At 44.5% G+C, this 17,409-nt stretch overlaps 1 annotated feature.

Moving 5' to 3' along the window:
• Positions 1 to 747: an enhancer, noted in NCBI's record as "NANOG-H3K27ac hESC enhancer chr5:175861163-175861909 (GRCh37/hg19 assembly coordinates)". NCBI's record gives its function as "activates a minimal SCP1, AML or CMV promoter by ChIP-STARR-seq in primed H9 embryonic stem cells {active_cell/tissue: H9 hESC(primed)}" and the evidence as "EXISTENCE:reporter gene assay evidence [ECO:0000049][PMID:30033119]".

The raw sequence follows: 17,409 nt of genomic DNA, 5'->3' as shown, positions 1-17,409 counted from the left end.
CTATTTTAGGTCCTTTACATTTCTGAACAAATTTTAGAATCAGTTTGTCAATTTCTTTCTTTTCTTTTTTTTATTATTATTTTTTAATATATATTTTTTATTGATCATTCTTGGGTGTTTCTCACAGAGGGGGATTTGGCAGGGTCATAGGACAATAGTGGAGGGAAGGTCAGCAGATAAACAAGTGAACAAAGGTCTCTGGTTTTCCTAGGCAGAGGACCCTGTGGCCTTCCGCAGTGTTTGTGTCCCTGGGTCCTTGAGATTAGGGAGTGGTGATGACTCTTAACGAGCATGCTGCCTTCAAGCATCTGTTTAACAAAGCACATCTTGCACCGCCCTTAATCCATTTAACCCTGAGTGGACACAGCACATGTTTCAGAGAGCACAGGGTTGGGGGCAAGGTCACAGATCAACAGGATCCCAAGGCAGAAGAATTCTTAGTACAGAACAAAATGAAAAGTCTCCCATGTCTACTTCTTTCTACACAGACACGGCAACCATCCGATCTCCCAATCTTTTCCCCACCTTTCCCCCCTTTCTATTCCACAAAACTACCATTGTCATCATGGCCCGTTCTCAATGAGCTGCTGGGTACACCTCCCAGACGGGGTGGTGGCCGGGCAGAGGGGCTCCTCACTTCCCAGTAGGGGCGGCCGGGCAGAGGCGCCCCTCACCTCCCAGACGGGGCGGCTGGCCGGGTCGGGGGCTGACCCCCCACCTCCCTCCCGGACGGGGCGGCTGGCCGGGCAGAGGGGCTCCTCACTTCCCAGTAGGGGCGGCCGGGCAGAGGCGCCCCTCACCTCCCGGAAGGGGCGGCTGGCCTGGCGGGGGCTGACCCCCACCTCCCTCCCGGACGGGGTGGCTGCCGGGCGGAGACGCTCCTCACTTTCCAGACGGGGTGGCTGCCAGGCGGAGGGGCTCCTCACTTCTCAGATGGGGTGGCTGCCGGGCGGAGGGGCTCCTCACTTCTCAGACAGGGTGGCTGCCGGGCGGAGGGGCTCCTCACTTCTCAGACGGGGTGGTTGCCAGGTAGAGGGTCTCCTCACTTCTCAGACGGGGCGGCCGGGCAGAGACGCTCCTCACCTCCCAGACGGGGTCGCGGCCGGGCAGAGGCGCTCCTCACATCCCAGACTGGGCAGCGGGGCAGAGGCGCTCCCCACTCAGACGATGGGCAGGTCAGGCAGAGATGCTCCTCACTTCCTAGATGGGATGGCGGCCGGGAAGAGGCACTCCTCACTTCCTAGATGGGATGGCGGCCGGGCAGAGATGCTCCTCACTTTCCAGACTGGGCAGCCAGGCAGAGGGGCTCCTCACGTCCCAGACGATGGGGGGCCAGGCAGAGACGCTCCTCACTTCCCAGACGGGGTGGCGGCCGGGCAGAGGCTGCAATCTCGGCACTTTGGGAGGCCAAGGCAGGCGGCTGGGATGTGGAGGTTGTAGCGAGCCGAGATCACGCCACTGCTCTCCAGCCTGGGCACCATTGAGCACTGAGTGAACGAGACTCCGTCTGCAATCCCGGCACCTCGGGAGGCCGAGGCTGGCGGATCACTTGCGGTCAGGAGCTGGAGACCAGCCCGGCCAACACAGCGAAACCCCGTCTCCACCAAAAAAATACGAAAACCAGTCAGGCGTGGCGGTGCGCGCCTGCAATCGCAGGCACTCGGCAGGCTGAGGCAGGAGAATCAGGCAGGGAGGTTGCAGTGAGCCGAGTTGGCAGCAGTACAGTCCAGCTTCGGCTCGGCATCAGAGGGAGACCGTGGAAAGAGGGAGAGTCCAGCTTCGGCTCGGCATCAGAGGGAGACCGTGGAAAGGGGAGAGGGAGAGGGAGAAGGAGAGGGAGAGGGAGAGGGAGAGGGAGAGGGAGAGGGAGAGGAGGGAGGGGGAGGGGGAGGGGGAGGGGGAGGGGGATGGGGAGAGGGAGAGGTCTTTCTTTTATTTTTTAAAGACTGCTGGGAGTTTTATTGCATCTTTTTTTTCCCCCAGGTTCCTTCCAAGAATTTACATCTTATTATTGACTCTTCTAATCCATAAATAAGGTATATCTTTCTATTTACTTAGACCTTATTTAACTTCTCTCAACAACATTTTGTAGTTCTTTCTTTTTTTGAGACGCAGTCTCACTCTGTCGCCCAGGCTGGAGTGCACTCTTGGCTCACTGCAACCTCCACCTCCCGGGTTCAAGCGATTCTCCAGCTGCACCCCATCCAGCACCAGCTAGGACGTACCAAGGGTCCCAGGAGCCTCAGAACATCTCCATCTTCATAGACGTGTGTTTCATAGTTCAGGGGCTGCGAAAGGAAAATAAATCTTGGGGCCCCCAGATCGCTAAGCTAAAGGGAAAAGGTCAAGCTGGGAATTGCTTGGGAGAAACTTGCTTCCCATTCTATTCAGTCACCCCTCTGCTCACTGACATACACGCATATCCGATTGCCTGCTTTGAAGAGGCTACTCAGAAACTCAAAAGAATGCAACCATTTGTCTCTTATCTACCTATGACCTGGAAGCCCCCTCCCCATGGAGTTGTCCCACCTTTGCTTCAAGTTGTCCCACCTTTCTGGACTGAACCAATGTTCATATGTAAATGTGTTGATTGATGTCTCATGTCTCCCTAAAATGTATAAAACTAAACTCTGCCCTGACCACCTTGGGCGTATGTCGTCAGGACCTCCTGAGGCTGTGTCACAGGCGCGTGTCCTCAACCTTGGCAAAATAAACTTTCTATATTAACTAAGACCTGTCTCAGGTATTCAGGGTTCACGTTTTGGTAACCGTGGAAGGATTCTGAGTGGAGATGCCCCTGACCTTTGGCAAATCTCCTATCAGTGCTTGGGACCAGCATGAGCTACCTTTATGGCTCAAACCAATAGGACAGCTTGCTGAGGCCTGGATGCACCCCCTCCAGAGAATCCCTGATTTCCCAAAATTTGGTGGAGATCTAAAGTTTATTTTGCTGTGCAACTCCCTTGTTTGCAGTTTTGCTTGCTTCCAACAAGAAGGCAAGATTTCCTGCTTCCATGATGATTTAAAGGCAGGTAATTCCTTTATGGAGTTTGAGCTCGCTCCCAGCAGGGAAGATGAGTTTGAGTTTTTTCCTGCTTCTAGCATGGTAGAGAGTAGTCTTCAGCCTGAGACCCATCCCTAGGTAAGTAGCTGAATTGTGGTTTTGTCTTGGCTAAAGTTTAACAACCAGCTGATCTTAATTTCTCTTTACCATTAGCGTGCTCAGTGACCATAGTGTTGGGTTTGTTGTTATTGTTGTATGTTCTAGTCTTTCTCCCATTAGATTTGACCAACTCTATGTGACTTTGTCAAATCCAAGTGCAAATTCCAAATTATGGGTAACAAAGCCTCTTTAATTTGGCTAACATTTCTTGCAGCTGCAAAAGAGGGAAAACAAAAAAACAAAAAACCCCCAAAAATCATGTGCTTGGTTTCTGTGTTTGCTTTCTGTCTTAAAAAAAAAAAACTCTTTTTTTTTTTTTTGGCAGGGGGGACAGGGTCTCTCATTCTGTCACCCAGACTGGAGTGCAGTGGCGTGATCTGGGCTCACTGCCACCTCTGCCTCCCGGGTTCAAGCGATTCTCCTGCCTCAGCCTCCCGAGTAGCTGCGATTACAGGCGCACACCACTAAGGCCCGGCTAATTTTTGTATTTGTATTTTTATTTTTTAGATGGAGTCTCACTCTGTCACCCAGGCTGGAGTGCAGTGGTGCGATCTCGGCTCACTGCAACCTCTGCCTCCCAGATTCAAGCGATTCTTCTGCCTCAACCTCCTAAGTAGCTGGGACTACAGGCGTGTGCCACCACACCCAGTTAATTTTTGTATTTTTAGTAGAGACGGGGTTTTACCACGTTGGCCAGGATGGTCTCAAACTCCTGACCTCAAATGATCCATCTGCCTTGGCCTCCCAAAGTGCTGGGATTACAGGGATGAACCACTGCACCCAACCAAAAATAATTTTTTTATTTACTTTTCTTCCACCCTGTACCTGCTTCCCTCTTTGCCATCCGCACTACCAAAAAATCTAGAAAAGGCTTCCAATGACTTAATCCTCTTTAAATAATTCAAACAAAGGCACCACTCACCCTTTTTGAGGTGTTCTATTTTCTCTGTGGAGTTTTAAGAGTCAAGAGCAGATTTTTCTTAGGTCTAAAGCTCTGTTTTCCTGTATTGTATGCCCTGACCTCTTGGGCTTTGGGGGTACCAGAGATTACCTTATACTGTGAGAGGATTTGACCTTGGTGTGTGTAATGGCGGATGAGAGCTACAAAGTAGGGGTGGCTGAGCACAGTTTACAGGAAGTGGTCTTGGCTGTTGGTTTTTTTTTGCTCTCCTAGGAAATTGTTTAAGGATCCTAATTCTAGTTCAGAGATGCTCTCAAAATTAATCCAAACTTGGCTTCTCTGTGCATATTTGTGTGAGGAACTGAACTGTTGTTTTCATAGGTAAATGAGAGACTAAGTTTTCTCAGCACCTAAGAGAAAGGGCATTTGCTCCCCCCCGCCGAAAGGGACCCTTGGGTGACTGGGGGCCTCGTGGGAGTGTCTGGGGGGATTCAGCCCCTGTGATGTGCAGTGGCCCCACAGGGAAATCCCCAACAAAAATTAATTAAAAAAAAGGCTTGTCTAAGAAACTCATATAAGAGCTGACACTCAGCCTTCTGAGCCCTTTCAGAGGTCATAGACCTCTGGAGAGAGAAACAGAGGGTGGAAACAACTCAGTGGTGACACACTGTGGAGTCCTGCTCACAAGCAGTACGCATCCATCCACCACACAAAAACCCTATGCCACAGCGCAGCGCCTCCTTTTAAGGAAAAAAAAAAAAAGTGGGAAACAAATAATCTAAGAATGAGAAGAAAACGAGGAAAGTGACCCCCTTGAGAGCACTGCATAGGTTTTATGGCACCTCTACTTGCCAGAATTTATGTAAAATGAAAATAATATGGTCTTTATGCACAGTTACATTAAGGAAAAAGAGCCCTAAGGTCGACCTGCAAACTATAGAGTTCCAAGGTCCTCTTTTTCTCTATTTTATTTGCTGCCTGCTTTAAGTCTACTGTTATTTTTCTATTAAAATAAAAACCATTGTTTGGATCCAACAGGTTCTTTTCGCAAGCTGGTGAATTTGTATTTATCTCATGGCTAAAGTTCTGAAGTAAAAGCTGTAGGATCTTTGTGTATGTGTGTGTGTATATATTTAAAAGGCCTTTATAATGTCTATAATTTTATGTTCAATTGGCAATTAAATCTGTTTTAATTTCCCTCTAGCACACTATACTTTTTTCTCCGTACCTTATGATCTAAATTTTGCTATTTGATTTTAACCTGAGTTGTTTCCTTTAATACATAACTTTAAGGCAATTTAGCTGACAATTGCCTAGGGCAGTGAAACAGGTTATCAAGAATTTGAAGGTCTAAGATAGGAAAATAAAAAGATTTTTATGAATCTATAAGATGTACTTCTTTTTTTTGAGACAGCCTTGCTGTGTCACCCAGGCTGGAGTGCAGTGACGTGATCTTGGCTCACTGCAACCTCTGCCTCCTGGGTTCAAGCAATTCTCCTGTCTCAGCCTCCCAAGTAAATGGGATTACAGGCACCAGCCACCATGCCCAGCTAATTTTTGTATTTTTAGTAGAGACCGGGTTTCACCATGTTGCCCAGGCTGTTCTCGAACTCCTGACCTCAAGTGATCTGCCCACCTCGGCCTTTCACAGTGCTGGGATTACAGGTGTGAACCACTGCGTCTGGCCAGAAAACATTGTTTCTAAAAAAAAAAAAAAAAAAAAAAAAGATGTCTTTTTTAAAAAGGAGAACAATTTTTGTCTAATTCAAAGCTTATTTAAAGGTTATATGGCTATATATTAAAAAGGTAAAAGAAACCAGGAAATAAGAGAGATGTAAAGAAAGTTATAAAAATAAAGAGTTTTATTTTGTTTGTTTGGCTGGTTTTTTTTGGTAAGAAGGCTTAAAGATAATTTTTTTTTTTTTTTGAAATGGAGTTTTGCTCTTGTTACCCAGGCTGGAGTGCATTGGTGTGATCTCAGCTCACTGCAATGTCCACCTCCCAGGTTCAAGCGATTCTCCTGTTTCAGCCTCCCAAGTAGCTGGGATTACAGGTGCCTGCTACCACCCCTGGCTAATTTTTGTATTTTTAGTAGAGACAGGGTTTCACCATGTTGGCTAGGCTGGTCTTGAACTCCTGACCTCAGGTGATCCTCCTGCCTTGGCCTCCCAAATACAGACATAAGCCACTGTGCCCAGCCATGAGAAACAATTTTATATGAGCAAGAACCTTGTATTGTAAGTTTAGTCCTAGAATAAAATGACCTGTTGTTTAAGAAAGAGGGGGTGTTTGGCTGGGCGCAGTGGCTCACACCTGTAATCCCAGCACTTTGGGAGGCCGAGGTGGGTGGATCACCTGAGGTCAGGAGTTCAAGACCAGCCTGGCCAATATGGTGAAACTCCGTCTCTACTAAATTTATAAAAAATGAGTTGGGTGTGGTGGCATGTGCCTGAAAGTCTAGCTACTCAGGAGGCTGAGGCACGAGAATCACTTGAACCCGGGAGGTGGAGGTTGTAGTGAGCTGAGATCGTTCCACTGCACTCCAGCCTGAGTGACACAGTGAGACTCTGTCAAGAAAGAAAGAAAAAGAGAGAGAGAGAGGGGGAGGGAGGGAGGGAGGGAGGAAGGAAGGAAGGGAGGGAGGGAGGGAGGGAGGGATGTTCAGGACAAACCAGGAAGTCCAAGCATGGCATGAACAGTTTGTGTGAGTCATAAGAAGAGGATATAATTTAAAAAAATAAACTTTTATATGATCAAGTTGTCTGTTAATTAAAGGGAAATTGTAATGGTCCTTCTAGAGACTGGGATTGATGTAAATGAAAAATGTAGTAAATAATTGGTACGAGCAATGGAACTTTCTTAAGGGATTGATTTATTGTTAATAAACTGTAAGAGATTTAAATATTATAACCCAAAGTTCAACTTCTATTTAAATATTATAACCCAAAGTTCAACTTCTATTATATCTTACCATTTTTGGTTTTCTCTCCTCTTTTAAAGGGCAAGACAGTAATGCTCTCCAACTTATTTTTCAGCTCATATAAGTTTTTTTCCTTGAGTTCTATTTGTTGTGGACTGATGTTAACAATGTTTTCTTAAAGGTGTAAAGGAAATGTTTTCTTCCAACATAATATTCAGTGCAGTGCTGAAGGTCTTTTCTTTTGCCTTTTGGTAACTAGCCTAACAAATTTTATGGTTTGCAGAAACAATTCCTATGCCATTATTATGAAGTTTGAGTTTGCTTAGAAAAAAAGTGAGATTAAAAGAATCTTTTTGCTGGGTGTGGTGGTTCATGCCCGTAATCCCAGCCCTTTCAGAGGCTGAGGCGTGCGGATCACCTGAGGTCAGGAGTTTGAGACCAGCCTGATCAATATGGTACATGCACGTCTCTACTAATATTACAAAAATTAGTCGGCATGGTGACACGTGCCTGTAGTCCCAGCTACTTGAGAGGCTGAGACAGGAGAATCTCTCAAACCTGGAAAGGCGGAGGTTGCAGTGAGCTGAGATCATGCCACTACACTCCAGCCTGGGTGACAGAGCGAGACTCTGTCTAAAAAAAAAAAAAAGAATTTTTTTAACTTTAAGGTTATTACATTCACGTGTCTTTCTGTATGGGCTTTTAAAGTTCTTGTGACACTGAGTTAAAGGGCTTTGACTACTGGATCTAAGAAGGACACCAAGTCTTGCTAAATGTTGAACACTGACATCAATTAAAGCCTCATCTTCAGGCCTGATAGAAGATGCCAGTCAAAATAAACTGCATTCCTGAGACACAGGGCCAGAAATTAAAGCCATTGAACTCCTCAAGGCCCAGGGACTATCATGGAGGAGGTGGGCATGTGAGATTGTAAAGGCCAATTTTGAGAGATAAAATAAGTTCAGCTTCCCTAGAAATTAATCATTAATGTCAAATGCACACTGATGCAAGACCAGCATATGGGTCCCTGTGTCAGATTAACAATGTTTTCTTGAAGCATTAACCAACTAATTAATAAAGGTTATAAAAGGCTTATGGAAGTTATAACTTATGGTCAAGATTAAAATTTTAGAGATAGCTTATAAAATTTTGAAAAACAAATTTAATTGGCTTCATGCTGTTTTCATTAGGGCTTATTGTTTGTAAAATTAAGTCTCCTCTCTCAAAGAATGAAGGTTTTGCCTTTTTTTTTTGAAATCCTTGAGTTAGCACTTTGGTCAAAAGAATGACTTATTTTACAATGACCTGTGGTATCAAGTGTTTTCAACCTTTGATATTTGACAAACTTTCTGAAATCAAATTATAAATTATGTCTTTTTCCGACCTAATTAATGCTTTAGAATATTAGATTCCCTAAAGTCCAAAAATGACATAATTTGGCTTATTTGGTATAAAAATTATACAGAAAACATGGTCGAATATGAAATGGTGTTTGGTTTTCTTTGGGCTGTATTTGTATAAATATGTTATTGGTATGTGTTCTAAAATTATGGGAAACCCCTATAATTATTATATGACTTAGTGTACTTTATCAGTTATAATTATAATTGTTACATTAATGTGCCACAGAGGTAACAAATACCCTTGTCAATTGTGTCTTTGACTATGGCTGCCCTAAAACTTTTCGTCATCCACAGACAATTGTTGTCTTGTTTTGGTCCTCTTTAGAAGGTGGTTTTATAATCAGCTATAAAATCTAACATGTGCTCTTGAATACAAGTTTTTGATACATTTGGAGATTGTGACATCAGAATAGAATAAAACTTTCAGGACTCATGGAGAAGTGAAACGTTCATGAATATCAAGCTGAACAGGAATTAACTGCATAGAAAGAGTTAATAGAAGACTGATGTAATCTTTTTTACTTTTTGTTGAAAACATTGCTAATCCTTTGTTTTGTTTTTTCAGAGTCAAGGGAAGTTTTCTTTTGAGCTATTGACAGCTTTTAATAATTTAGTATACTCCTGTGAACAACATTTAGAACACATTTTTTTCTCTCTACCTGATTTCTCCAGAATTTGGAAACTATTTGTGACTATTCTTAACTTATGGTAATACAGTTATTTGCATCAGTACAATAAGAATCTGTTTCCAGGGGAGCGTGGTGGCTCACAACTATAATCCTAGCACTTTGGGAGGCCGAGGCGGGCAGATCACCAGAGGTTGGAAGTTTGCGACCAGCCTGACCAACATGGAGAAACCCCATCTCTACTAAAAATACAAAATTAGTTGGGCCTGGTGGTGCATACCTGTAATCCCAGCTACTCGGGAGGCTGAGGCAGGAGAATCGCTTGAACCTGGGAGGCGGAGGTTACGGTGAGCCAAGATCATGCCATTGGACTCCAGCCTGGGCCACAGGAGCGAAACTCTGTCTCAAAAAAAAAAAAAAAAGAATCTGTTTTCATTTATTGCAGGACACAATTGGAGAAACTGGTTACTGACTAGAATGGTATGCTTTCCTTCAAGGAAACAAACTTGACTTATGGAGCCAATAAAAGCACCTTGGGAAAACTGGCCTCTTACCTTGTCTACACAGTCCCTGTACAGGGTTCCTGACCTGTGGTAAGTAAGGAATGTTACTTTCTGACAGGCCCAGCAGCCACAAGTTTATCTTGGAACTTCAAGAAGAGAGGAATTCACCCAACTCATAGGTATTTGATAGTATAAATCCATGGCTGGGCTTGGTTTTAAAAAAGTCTTATCTGAGATTCCTTCTATGGAACAAAGTCCCATCACAGCCAATTTAAAAGCCTATGTAAAAAAAATTATTCTTGTTGCACTGTATACAAATAATCAGGCCAAGTATAATAAAGCAAATCAGTCCTACCATGACTTGTCTATAGTAAAAATGGGAAACCGGAGACAGAAAAATTATGTTTCACAAACTATAGTACACCTATTTTTAGATTCTAATCTTGCCTAATGTTTTTCAATTTTTATTATTTTTTACAGTTTGGACCGAATTCTAATTTTTCTTGGCTACAAGTCTTCAAAATAATGTTTTTAATTTTTTTCCTCCTTTTTTTTTGAGACAGAGTCTCACTCTGTCACCCAGACTGGAGTACGGCAGTGCGATCTCGGCTCACTGCAATCTCTGTCTCCCGGGTTCAAGCAATTGTCCTGCCTCAGCCTCCCAAGGAGCTGGGATTACAGGTTCCTGCCACCATGCTCAGCTAATATTTAGTATTTTTATTAGAGACAGGGTTTCACCACGTTGGCCAGGCTGGTCTTGAACTCCTGACCTCAGGTGATCCACCCGCCTCGGCCTCCCAAAGTGCTGGGATTACAGGTGTGAGTCACCGTGCCTGGCCCTGTTTTTAGACATTGGCAATGGGCAGCACAGGGCTGTGATCCCTGAGAGAAGAGAAACAAACAGGGTGAACCCTGTGATTTTCCAGGTGTAGGAAAACAGCCTGTTGCCTGGCAAGAGTAACACTATCTTAAAGGGAAACCACCATAATGACCCATGTTTGACTAGTGCATATACTGAGGCAGTCCTGCAGCAAAGTCAGGAAACAATGCCTGTAATGGAGATAACCCCTTGCAAAGAAACAGTGCCTGTACCAGAGACAACCTCTCATAAGGATGTTTATCTAGGCTGGCTTGCAGTGGCTTAATCCCAGCACTTTGGGAGACTGAGGTGGGAGGATCGCTTGAGCCCAGGAATTTGCGATCAGCCTGGGCAACACAGTGAGACCCTGTCTCTTAAAAAAAAAAAAAAAAAGAGCTTATTTAACTTCCCCAGTGGTCAGGAGTTTCACAAGAGGTCTGAGGCTAAAATCTTGCTATAAAAAGGATAATTTCTGGATGGCAGTTGCAGAGATCCACTGCCGTGTGGCTGTCTAAGACAAGGCTTTTGTTTGTAAGTCTCTATTAAATGTTTCTTTCTGATAAACTGGATTTGTCAACCTCTTTCTTCGGCCTCTCAGCTCCCTTGGCCTTTGGAGGTAGGTTAGCTTAGATCTGCTCACAGCAGAACACCACGCTTTCTGCCTGAAGGAATTTCTTTTTTCTTTTCTTTTTTTTTTTTTTGAGATGGAGTTTCGCTCTTGTTGCCCAGGCTGGAGTGCAATGGTGTGATCTCAGCTCACTACAACCTCTGCCTCCTGGGTTCAAGCGATTCTCCTGCCTCAGCCTCCCGACTAGCTGGGATTACAGGCATGCGCCACCACACCTGGCTAATTTTGTATTTTTAGTAGAGACGGGGTTTCTCCATGTTGGTCAGGCTGGTCTCGAACTCCCGACCTCAAGTGATCCGCCCACCTCGGCCTCCCAAAGTGCTGCGATTACAGGCGTGAGCCACTGTACCCAGCCCGCCTGAAGGAATTTCTAAGCTGCTAGGAAGGTAAGGGGAACCCAAACAGAGTCCAGCAGTCTCACAGAGGCAAGAGACAGAGATAGGAGTTTGGGGAAGTTGAAGTGGCTAGGATTTGCAGGGTAAAGTACTGAGAAGAGGGAGCTAGGCAGGGCAAGAATTCCAGAAATGTGCATAGGAATTAGCTTTAAATCATCAGCCAAATAATAATCTGTGCATCCATAGAATAAAACTCCACTAGTCTGGGCAAAAATAATTTATGAGGATAGAAAGTTGGTTCTTCATCTGGGCATGGTGGCTCACACCTGTAATCCTAGCACTTTGGGAGGCTGAGGTGGGCAGATCACTTGAGGTCAGGAGTTCAAGATTAGCTTGGCCAACATGGTGAAACTCCATCTCTATAAATAAGAATAATAATAAAAAATTAAAAAAAAGAAAGTTGGTTCTTTGAAAAGATCAACAAAATTGACAAACCTTTAGCTAGATGAACTAACTAAGAAAAAAGAAGATTCAAATCACTAAAAGTAGATACAAGAATGGGGACATTGCTACTGATTCCATCGGAATAATAAGGATTATAAAAGACTACTGTGGCCGGGCGCGGTGGCTCACGCCTATAATCCCAACACTTTAGGAGGCTGAGGCAGGAGGATCACCTGAGGTTGGGAGTGTGAGACCAGCCTGACCAACATGGAGCAACCCTGTCCCTACTAAAAATACAAAATTAGCCAGGTGTGGTGGCACACACCTGTAATCCCAGCTACTCAGAAGGCTGAGGCAGGAGGGAGAATCGCTTGAACCTGGGAGGTGGAGGTTGCGGTGAGCCGAGATCACACCATTACAATTGCTAGAAACACAAAAACCTATCAAGACTAAACCATAAAGAAATAGAAAATCTGAGTAAACCTATAACTAGTGAGATTGGATCGGTAATCAAAAATCTCCTGACAAAGAAAAGCCCAGGATCTAATGGCTTCACTGGTGAATTCCATTAAACATTTAAAGAAGAACCAACTCTTCTCAAACTTCTCACAGAAATTGAAGAGAACACTTCCTAACTCTTTCTATGATGCCAGCATTATGCTGATACCAAAGCCAGATAAAGACACTACAAGTCCCAGTAATAGCATGAAAAAAAGAAGACACTAGTAGAAAAGAAAACTATGGATCATTATCTCTTGTGAACATTGATGCAAAAATCCTCAGCAAAATACTCAGTAACCGAATTCAACAGCACAATAAAAGGATTGTGTACCTTGACCAATGGGGTTTACACCCAGAATGCAAGGGTGGTTCACCATACAAGAATCAATCAATGTAATGTACTGCATTAACTGAATTAATTTAAAAAACACGGCTGGGCACGGTGGCTCACGCCTGTAATTCCAGCACTTTTGGAGGCCGAGGTGGGCGGATCACGAGGTCAGGAGATCGAGACCATCCTGGCTAACACAGTGAAACCCCGTCTCTACTAAAAATACAAAAAAATTAGCCAGGCGTGGTGGCGGGCGCCTGTAGTCCCAGCTACTCAGGAGGCTGAGGCAGGAGAATGGCGTGAACCCAGGAGGCGGAGCTTGCAGTGAGCCGAGATCGTGCTACTGCACTCCAGCCTGGGTGACAGAGCGAGACCCCGTCTCAAAAAAAAAAAAAAAACCATGCGATCATCTCAATAGAGCAGAAAAAACATTTGGCAAAATTCAACACCCTTTCATGATAAAAACAGTCAATAAAGTAGGAACAGAAGGTAGTTATATAATGTAACAAAAGCCATATATGAAAAATCTGGCCAGGTATGGTGGCTCACACCTATAATGCCAACACTTTTTGGGAGGCAGAGGCAGGAGGATCACTTAAGCCCAGTAGTTTGAGACCAGCTTGAGCAACATAGTGAGACCCAGCTCTATAAAAAAGAAAAGAAAAGAAATCCACAGCAAACATCATACTCCATGGTGGAAGACTGAAAGCTCATCCACTAGGATCAGGAGCAAGTAGAGAGTCAACCTAAAATAACGACAGGGAGAGTGGCTCTAAGAAAAAGTGAGATTACTTGGGAATGAATGACAAATTGTATATTAGTCCATTTTCATGCTACTGACAAAGACATTCCTGAGACTGGGCAATTTACAAAAGAAAGAGGTTTAATGGACTTACAGTTCCAAGTGGCTGGGGAAGTACACAATCATAGTGGAAGGCAAGGAGGAGCAACTAATGTCTTACATGGATGGCAGCAGGCAAAATGAGAGAAAAGCTTGTGCAGGGGAACTCCTCTTTATAAAACCATCAGATCTTGTAAGACTTATTCACTGTCACAAGAACTGCACAGGAAAGACTTGCCTCCATGATTCATTTACCTCCCACCGGGTCCCTCCTACAACATATGGGAATTCAAGATAAGATTTGGGAGGGGACACAGCCAAACCATATCAGATTGTGTGAAAGGAAAATAAAATCTCAGGACCTCAAACTCACTACTCAAAAGGAAAAGTTAAGCTTGGAAACTAAGCCACACAAAAAAACTGCCTTTCCTTTTGTTCCTAAACAGATAGGTATAAGATAGAAGGCCACATGTCTCCCCAGGTGGCCTCCCTCACCCTGACAATGTAAATTAACAGCTTATCTTCACAGGTGCGGGACAAAAGGAGACTAGAAATCATCCCCCCCACGCCCCTGTCAGACAAATGCATATTTGAACTCTTCCTCTACTCTCTGTTTATCTTATGTACAGATTTACTGAGTGCAAGATGAATATGTAATTGACTATTCCTCTACCCTGTCCTTTTCACATGGAACGTATGGATTCAGTGAGCTCTAATCAAAGCCTCAAAAGAATGCAATGGCTTATCTCACTTGTCTACCTTCCTTTTTTTCCCCTTTCTTCTTTCTCCTCCTGCCCACTTTTTCCCCTTTAAATAATGAAGTCCTCAAAATCTTCTTTGGAAAAAAGTGCATGCCACAGATCATACTGTGTCTTGTGTCTCTTCTTCTTGGGTGTGCCTGCAACCTTGGCAAAATAAACCTCTAAATTGATTGAGACCTGTCTGTGATACTTTCTTGTTTACAGTTGCATCCCAGGGAATACATGTACTATGGTGAACCATGGAGGGGGGCACTCAGAGAGAAAAAGGAAGGAAAGGGGTTTTAAAGGCAAAATGAGGAAGGCTACGTAAGTTGTTTTGAAAAAATTATCCTTGGCTACAAGGATTGATAACAAGGGTAGCATTATTCCAAGATTGAACAGGCAATTGCTGGGCAGGTGTCATTGCAGAAATATTCTTCGTGCATGGGTGTGACGGCCTTTGTGCAAGATTGTGGTTTCAGACAATCCTTGTTTTTTGTTGTTGTTGTTGTTGGGTTTTTTTTTTTTTCTTGAGACGGAGTTTTGCTCTTGTTGCCCAGGCTGGAGTACAATGGGGCAATCTCGGCTCACTGCAACCTCTGCCTCCCAGGTTCAAGCAATTCTTCTGCCTTAGCCTCCTGAGTAGCTGGGATTACAGGTGTGTGCCACCACACCCAGCTAATTTTGTATTTTTAGTAGAGACGGGGTTTCATCATGTTAGGTTGGTCTTGAACTCCAGACCTCAGGTGATCCGCCCATCTCAGCATCCCAAAGTGTTGGGATTACAGGCATGAGCCACCGTGCCCAGCCTCAGACAGTCCTTGTAATATTTTCTATCATAGGCATGTGTGCATGGGAGCCCCTCATTTATGGCCTCCTGAGTCCATTTTGCTAGGGTTTGGCATAAGTGACTCCAGTTTGATTTGGACAACTTGTGCAGAAGGATGCCCACTTTTGGTATTTCTATTCAACATAGTACTGGAAGTCCTAGCCAGAGAAATTAGGCAAGAAAAAGAAATAAAAGCAACCCAGATTGGAAAGTAAGAAGTATCTCTGTTTGCAGATGCTATTTATTTATTTAGAGACAGGGTCTCACTCTCATTGCCCAGGCTGGAGCGCAGTGGTGTGATTGTTATAGGACAGGGGTCCCAATCCAGACCCCAAGAGAGGGTTCTTGGATCTCACGCAAGAAAGAATTCAGGGTGAGTCCTTGGTGCAAAGCGAAAACAAGTTTATTAAGAAAGTAAAGGAGGGGCCGGGCACGGTGGCTCACGCCTGTAATCCCAGCACTTTGGCAGGCCGAGGTGGACAGATCATGAAGTCAAGAGATCGAGACCATCCTGGCTAACAGGGTGAAACCCCGTCTCTACTAAAAATACAAAAAAAAAAAAAATTAGCTGAGCATGGTGGCAGGCTCCTGTAGTCCCAGCTACTTGGGAGGCTGAGGCAGGAGAATGGCGTGAACCCGGGAGGTGGAGCTTGCAGTGAGCCGAGATCGCACCACTGCACTCCAGCCTGGGCAACAGAGCGAGACTCCACCTCAAAAAAAGAAAAAGAAAGTAAAGGAATAGAAGAATGGCTACTCCATAGACAGAGCAGCCCCAAGGACTGCTGGTTGCATATTTTCATGGCCATTTCTTGATGAAATGCTAAACAAGGGGTGGATTATTCGTGCCTTCCCTTTTTAGACCGTATAGGGTAACTTCCTGATGTTGCCATGGCATTTGTAAACTGTCCTGGCACTGGTGGGAGTGAGGATGACCAGAGGTCACTCTTGTCACCATTTTGGTTTTGGTGGGTTTTGGCTGGCTCCTTTACTGCAACCTGGTTTTTGTTGTTGTTGTTTGTTGGTTTGTTTGTTTTTTGAGACTGAGTCTTGCACTGTCACCCAGGCTGGAGTGCAGTGGTGAGATCTCGGCTCACTGTAACCTCCGCCTCCCGGGTTCAAGCAATTCTCCTGCCTCAGCCTCCCAAGTAGCTGGGATTACAGGCACCTGCCACCATGCCCAGCTAATTTTTTGTATTTTTAGTAGAGACGGGGTTTCACTATATTGACCAGGCTGGTCGCAAACTCCTGACCTCACAATCCGCCCACCTTGGCCTCCCAAAGTGCTGGGATTACAGGCGTGGGCCACCTTGCCCAACACTGCAAACTGTGTTATCAGCAAGGTCTTTATGACTTGTATTTTGTGCTGACCTCCTATCTCATCCTGTGATTTAGAATGCCCTAACCGTCTGGGAATGCAGCCCAGTAGGTTTCAGCCTCATTTTACCCAGATCCTGTTTACGACGGACTTGCTCTGATTCACACACCTCTGACACAATCATAGCTCACTGCAACCTTGACTTCCCGGGCTCAGGTGATTCCCTCACCTCGGCCTCCTGAGTAACTGGGACTACGGGCACCATACCACCATGTCTGGCTAATTTTTTGTAGTTTTAGTAGTGATGGGGTTTTGCCACGTTGTCCAGACTGGTCTCAAACTCCTGGGCTCAATCTATCCACCCACTTCCACCTCCCAAAGTGCTGGGATTACAGGTATGAGCCATGGCACCTGGCTAATAAGCTCTTATCTGCAGAAAACCCTAAATATTCCACACACAAAAAATGTTAGAGCTAATAAATGAATTCAGCAAAGCAGCAGGATACAAAGCCAATGCACAAAAATCAGTTAAATTTCTATGCATTAACAATACGCAATCAAAAAAGAAGATAAAACTTCCACTTACAATAACATCAAAAAGGCCAGGTGTGTTGGCTCATGCCTGTAATCCCAGCTCTTTGGAAGTCTGAGGATGAGAGGATCACTTGAGCCCAGGAGTTGAAGCTGTAGTGAACTATAATCGTACCACTACACTCTAGCCTGGGCAAGAGTAAGATCCTGTCTCAAAACAAAAAACAAACAAACAACAACAACAAAACCATGCAAATGGACAGCAATAAATAAATACATTAATTTAATTAAATAAAACAATAAAAACCCCCCCAAAAACAGTAACATCAAAAGGTGCTCAAGTTGTTACCAATTAAACTGAAAGTTCCAGCTGGGCTTGGTAGCTCACACATGTAATCCCAGTGTTTTGGGAGACCAAGGCAGGAGGATCCCCTGAGGCCAGCAGTTCAAGACCAGCCCAGTTAATATAGCGAGGCCCTGTCTCTAAATAAAAAAATTAAAAAGAAAAAAAAAAAAACACCTGGAAGGTCCCTTCACCC

The sequence above is a fragment of the Homo sapiens genome, chromosome 5 (genome assembly GCF_000001405.40).
Source record: "Homo sapiens chromosome 5, GRCh38.p14 Primary Assembly".
Classification (NCBI taxonomy): domain Eukaryota; kingdom Metazoa; phylum Chordata; class Mammalia; order Primates; family Hominidae; genus Homo; species Homo sapiens.
This window is presented reverse-complemented; position numbering and strand designations above follow the sequence as displayed.